At 36.9% G+C, this 6,851-nt stretch overlaps 1 annotated feature.

Annotated features, from left to right (window-relative positions):
- Positions 2,077–2,246: an enhancer, noted in NCBI's record as "experimental_76488 CRE fragment used in MPRA reporter constructs". NCBI's record gives its function as "activates a minimal promoter by MPRAs in K562 erythroleukemia cells, with activity observed for both the introgressed and non-introgressed 4:179699624 variant alleles {active_cell/tissue: K562}" and the evidence as "EXISTENCE:reporter gene assay evidence [ECO:0000049][PMID:34662402]".

Here is a 6,851-nt window from a genome sequence, read left to right as displayed (position 1 = left end):
TATGCATCTTGGCTGGTATTCAGCATACTCTTGTGAAACAAATTTACTTTGACCAAAGTTTACAGAGACAGGCAATTAATAAAATGATCAATTACATATATTGAGTACTATCACTGCAGACTAATACTTTCACTGCTATGAAAGTTTACACATGAAGTTAAAGATTTTCACTCTTTCTCAAGTAATTTAAAAATTAGGAGGAAAAGTAAAACAAATACAGCTGAAAATGGAAAAATATAACAAATACCCAAATCAAAATACAAAGGAATATGAAAATTAATCACATTGTAAGATAGTACACCTAATTTACTATGGTTCACAAAAATGGATGTATTGATGCTTAAAATATGTTGCATAATTATATTCAATAAACATGTATTATTTTATAGCTTCAAGACCTTTAAAAGGAGTTAATGGCACATAAGAATTAATTCAATATAATTTTTACCTAAGCTAGTAAAAGAGAGGCCTATAAATATCTAGTTGTAATTCTTTTTTACCATTAGCTAATATTTTTATTATCAACGATTTGCAAGTCACTGTATTAATATACACTAGGGGTTTAAAAAAATGCATGAAATGGCTTTGTCCCCAGTGGGTTTATAATCTAATTACAGAAACAGAACACACACATGCAGTACATGGGGACATATTAAAGGATATATTAATATACAGGCAGTTAAATATTTGTAAGCAGTGAAGTCAATATTGAGGTTAAAGTAGTTAAATCTCTCACTTTTCTCCCAAACACTTCAGGTCAACTGAAGCCAATGCTAGCGTGGCTATGATGAGGGTCGAGGGATTAGCACTTCATCAATGTGGAGACTTTCCCTACCTGCCCAGTGAGAGCAGGAGTGTGGAGAGTCCAGAACCATGAATAGACTGAATGAGTTAGAAAGAAATTAATTTTTAAAAGGAATGTGTAGAATTAAGAATGAAACCCTGTCTCTACTAAAAATACAAAAAATTAGCTGGGTATGGTGGCGGGCGCCTGTAGTCCCAGCTACTCAGGAGGCTGAGGCAGGAGAATGGCGTGAACCTGGGAGGCGGAGCTTGCAGTGAGCTGAGATTGCGTCACTGCACTCCAGCCTGGGTGACAGAGCGAGACTATGTCTCAAAAAAAAAAAAAAAATGAAAAAAATGAAAAAGGAGGTTGTTTCAACACAGTTGCATGGAAATCTGTGAGTGACTCAGAAGTATTGGCAAGTGATTGACACACAAACAGGACCAGATCGAGAAATCTGGCTGTCACTCTGAATTATTTCACTAAGAATGGTCAGCTGGTTGAGTGCAGGTTGTCAATTTAATCAGCCAATCATCGCTTGTCCCTTCAAACTGATATTCTCTATTGATTGGAGAGAGATCTTCACTTGTCTATTAATAGTAAAATGTATAGTTTCTGTTGGATTAATATTAGGTACCTGTATTTATTATACTCTATGTTTTGAATAAAATGTTTTATGACTATGAGGCACACCACAAAATCATTTTAAATTGTATTAAACAAATCCCTCATTCCCACTTAACAGCATTGTGTCACAAACTATTGGCTTCTGTGTTTTAACTAACTACAGACTGATGGGCCAGTTGAGAGATCAGGGTTTGTTGATCAGCCCCTTTTTGCATCTTCCACTTCATAAAGAAAAAAAGAAATGAAAAAAATCCAAAATCTATAGATCTACACTTGGAAGAAGTAATTCTTTCTGTTTTGTTTTCTTCCAGTTGAAGGATTTATCTACTTTAATGAAAAAAAAAAAAAAGATTTACGTTTTGTCATCTCAGAGTTTCTCGTGGACACATGAACTGAGCGAAACTGTATTTCAGAGTTGTTTTCAGCGATGTTTGCACAGCACATGCGGATTGTTGCTCTACATGGCCATTACTGTGGCTCTAAGGACGGGCAGATCAAGTAGCACTGTCTGGCACAACGTGTAGTACTCACAGCTGGTGAGCCTCAGGCCTGGCCTTGATTGTCAACCAGTTGTGAAAAAGAAAGAAGACTGGAGGAATTCAGTTCAGAGCCTTCCACAGAAGCAAGAGTGCCCATAAGCATCCAGAAAGTCACAATGAATTATCCAAGAGAAAAATAATTTAAAAGAGAGTTAGTTAGACTTCAATTCTTCTTGTCGCTAAAAGCAATGAACATTTCTTGGCCCTCAACATGCTTTAAATGTCATAAACACACACCCACACAAAGGCATATATGCACACATGCAGAGCTTGGAAAATTCAGAGATCCTGTTACTTGATTCTGAGAAAAAACACAGTCTAAGTTTGCTTACATCAGTTTTCTTCCCTTCTCTATCACCTGCTCGCTCTTCATACTCTGAACTCTCACCTTGCACATCCTGCAGGAATCATCCCTGCACCCTCTTCTCTATCTTTCTCACAAAAAGATTCCATTCAGTCCTATCACTCTACCTGCAGGTGTTTTCCAAGCAGCCCTCTCTTGTTCAGATCATATATCTATTGCCTAAACAATTAACATTCATATATTGGATTTCAATAGGCCTCTTAAGCTAAATAAAACAGAGCTCTTCAAAAATGCTTTCTCCATTCTCTCAGGCTAATTACTGTAAGCGGATCCCATCTTCTACAGCTCCTTGCAGCAAATGTTCACAGACTTTCCTCGTTCTTTTCTTTTTCCTCATTCCTCAGATCCAAATCTATCAGGATATCCTATTGATTCCAGCATTCGTCTTCTTCATCTTTATTGCCATCATCTATTCCAAGTTGCAAACAGCTCTTAATTCAGTTCTACAAGGGTCGCTTCATGGTCTCCCTGCTTCTGCATCCGCCCTGCTGAACAGCAGTTGTAAATCATACCATGCTAACCCCTTTATTTAACAACTTCATTTCTTTTTAAAATATACTAGTTATAAAAGTCAAATTTCCTATTACTGCAGTGTTAATATTACACAGCCCCCAAAAATCTCTATAACATATTTTTTTAAAATGCTGCTTCCTCCTTAATCATTATATCCCAAGCAAAAAAAAACCCACCATTTTAGTCTCTTGAATTACTCTGTCCTCAGGTTGGAGTGCAGTGGCACAATCTCGGCTCACTGCAACCTCCACCTCCTAGGTTCAAGCAATTCTTGTGCCTCAGCCTCCCAAGAAGCTGGGATTACAGGCGTGCAACAATATGCCCAGCTAATTTTTATATTTTTGGTAGAGACAGAGTTTCGCCCTGTTGGCCAGGCTAGTCTTGAACTCTGGGCCTCAAGGAATCCTCCTGCCTTGGCCTCCCAAAGTGTTGAAATTAGAGGTGTGAGTCATCACTCCCAGCCTCCATCTTTCAAATCTCAGACTAACTGTCATCTTCTTAGACAGCCCTATCTGACACTATATGCTAAGTAATCTCCTGCCTCACTCTGCCCATGGTGTCCCTTCTACTACAGGTTGAGAATTTCTGACCAAAAATGCTCCGAACCAGAAGTGTTTTGTATTTTAGAGTTGTTTGGGTTTTGGAATATTTGCATATACATAAGATATCTTAAGGAAGGGAGCCTAGTCTAAACTTAAATTCATTTTTGTTTCATATACACCTTACATATTTAGCAAGAAGGTAATTTTATACAATATTTTTAATAATTGTGTGCATGAAACAAAGTTTTGACTGTGTTTTAACTGTGACCTATCACATGAAGTGTGGTATGGAATTATCCACTTATGATCTCATGTTAGCATTCGAAATGTTTTAGATTTTTGAGCATTTTGGATTTTGGAGCATTTTTCATTTTGAGATTAGGTTGCTCAACCTGTACATTGCTTAATTTATTATTTTTTAATGGCAATTATTACCAGCTAAATTTACCTCAATATCCATGCTTATTTTCCACACTGCCTTCTAGAATAAAAATGCCATAGAGAATATGGTCTCTATCCCAAAAGAAAAGGAAATGTTTAAGTAAAGTGTGGTTTATTAAACACAGAATCTAGATATGACAATTTGACTCTCATGTGGGGGATGAGTTGGGGAGCTATTTAACGAGAGGTGCCAAATTCTTGTTACATATCTCAGGCTAGATGTCTGTCATTTACTTCAGACTTACTAAATGTAAGTTGTCACTGTTATGATAATGAAGATTCTAATGATGAGGAAGGAAGAGAAGGAAAGAGATGGAAAACTATATATATGGAGAAACTAGTTCATGAGGTGAAAAGGCCTCAGTAGGTTGCCTGCAGTGGAAGAGAAAAACAACAACAAAAGTAAGCCACATAAGGAAATCGTATAAGAGGATGGGTACAAAAATGCATTAAGATGAATAAACTAGGTTTGAATCCCAAATTTATCACTTATTTATGTGACCTTGGGCCATTTACTTAAATTATGAGTAAGTAAATTATGACTGAGTCATAATTTTCATGTTGAAAATGTTCTAATTATGTGATGATTTAGTATAATCTCTTAACAATTCTAGGGATTAACTGGGCTCTTCTGCATGGTTTTCACCTAGGTAATGAAGCCACAGTTGGATCATGAGTGGAGTGTGGTTATCTGAAGGCTTCTTTGCATCTCTTCGTAGTACCTTGAACTTCCTCAGAGTATGGTGGTCTCAGAGATGTGAACTCTTTCCATGCCAGCTACCTTCACACAGAGCAAACTTTCCAAGAAACCCAGGTGGCTGCTGTTTCAGAAGTCCCAGAACAGCAATTTGTCAATAACGGGTATTAAAATGTTATTTAAAAAGCAGTTAATTTTATGAGAATCTCAAAGACATCATTTTCATCAATTTTATATATTCCTTTCTGTAGGCCAGTAAGGTTCTTTGTTTCTCAATCTATTATCTCTTTTATTTCACAAAGAGCAATCATAATTCTCTTTGAGAGTTATTAGTCTATTTTTAAGGTAAGATATAATTTTGGAGTTTCTAATTTCTCTATTTTGATTTATTCAGCCAATAAATAGGCCAGTCATTTGCTTTAGTCAATTTTCTTTCTATGCTCTTTCCTAAGTGTAAGGTTAATAAATATCAAGTCAGAAATGAAAATTACTTCAGAATTGAGAAGTAGAGATGAGACATTCAAGTAAGGTGTAAGTTTAAGGGAAGTCATGAGGAATAATTACTAATACATGCACAAAATTTTAACTATTTCCTAATGAATGGTGTATGGGAATATGACATTTCATACAGAATTCAGTATAAATAAAAACTCCTCCACAATTTCCAAAATTCTCTTCCTTAACTTTTTTGAATTAAAATGAATTTTTCCACAAGTTTAATTTTCTGCATGATCCAAGGGAAGAAATATATTTAGCAACTTCAGTTTATAATTTCTGTAGGCTTAACTTCCTCCATATCTGCAAATGGAAAATCCTCGATATATATAATGATATATGGGAGGAGGCGTAGGCTGGATAATGGCTACCCAAAGATATCAACTTTTAAAACTTGGAACCTGTAAGTGTTAATTAATTAGGAGAAGGTGTCTTTGCAATTGTGACTGGGCTACGGATTTTGACCTAGGGAGATTATGCTAGATTATCTGAACAGTCCATCAATCCAATCACTAGTGTCTTTATAAGTTAAAAGAATAGAGAATTTGACACACAAACTCACAGGGGAGAGCCTATCTAAAGATGGAGGCAGATACTGGAGTGATGCAACCACAGGCTAAACGGTGAAAAGAATGCTGGCAGCCACCAGAAGTTAGAGGCAGCAAGAATCAGTGTCTCCCCTAGAGCCTCCAGAGAGAGGACTGCCTTGCCATACCTTGATTTCAGACTTCTGCCCTCCAGAACTGTGAGAGAATAAATATTCCTGTTGTTTTAAGCCATTAAGTTTGTGATTGCTTGGTACAGCAAACACAGGAACCTAATCCAGGAAGAAAATATGTTGATATGTGGAATAAACTAAAACAGAAAATAGAGGCAACCTTTACGATGCCTGGATTTGGGAGAAAAAAACATTATGAGAAACCATATCCTACTAAACTGTGTTAATTTTTTTTTTTTTTTTTTTGAGACGGAGTCTTACTCTGTCGCCCAGGCTGGAGTGCAGTGGTGCAATCTCAGCTCACTGCAAGCTCTGCCTCCCGGGTTCACGCTATTCTCCTGCCTCAGCCTCCCAAGTAGCTGGGACTATAGGCGCCCGCCACCACGCCCGGCTAATTTTTTCTATTTTTGGGAAAGACGGGGTTTCACCATGTTAGCCAGGATGGTCTCGATCTCCTGACCTCGTGATCCGCCCGCCTCTGCCTCCCAAAGTGCTGGGATTACAGGGGTGAGCCACTGTGCCCAGCCAACTGTGTTAAAATTTTTCGTCAGATTTTCCTATTTTCTTTTGATCCATCAATCCATCCTCCTAAAACATTGATTTATTTATACAACAAATATTTATCAAAAGCAAATACAAGGAAAGATTCTGGAGACTACAAAGTGGCCAAGAATAATTTTTATTTTACCAGAGCACACAGACATTAGGTAAAAAATTATGCCTTAATTATTGATTAAATTGATTTAAGTACTATGAAAAAAGGAGTTGTGTAATGTTGAGCAACTTAATGAAATTCACTGAGGCTTTACATTTTCTTGTTCTGATCTGTTTGACTTATTTGGCAAGGTTTATAGGAGGTTTAAGTGAGATTACCTCTCTGGCACACAGTAGCTGTTAAATTAAATAAGCAAGACGTCATTAGCCTGAGGCTGTCTCCTTACTTAGGGTTACTAATTAACTAACAACAATTTGACTTAGCACATTAACAAACCAAAACCTAATTTAGGAATACATGTTGGTGGGTTTTTTTCCCAAAATATCCAGTTTTCAGTCAATCAACAACAGTCATGCTTCAGCCAATCACAGACAGCCAACTAATCACACCATACACAATTACGATGGATGCCTCCC

Source organism: Homo sapiens, chromosome 4, assembly GCF_000001405.40.
Source record: "Homo sapiens chromosome 4, GRCh38.p14 Primary Assembly".
NCBI lineage: Eukaryota > Metazoa > Chordata > Mammalia > Primates > Hominidae > Homo > Homo sapiens.
This window is presented reverse-complemented; position numbering and strand designations above follow the sequence as displayed.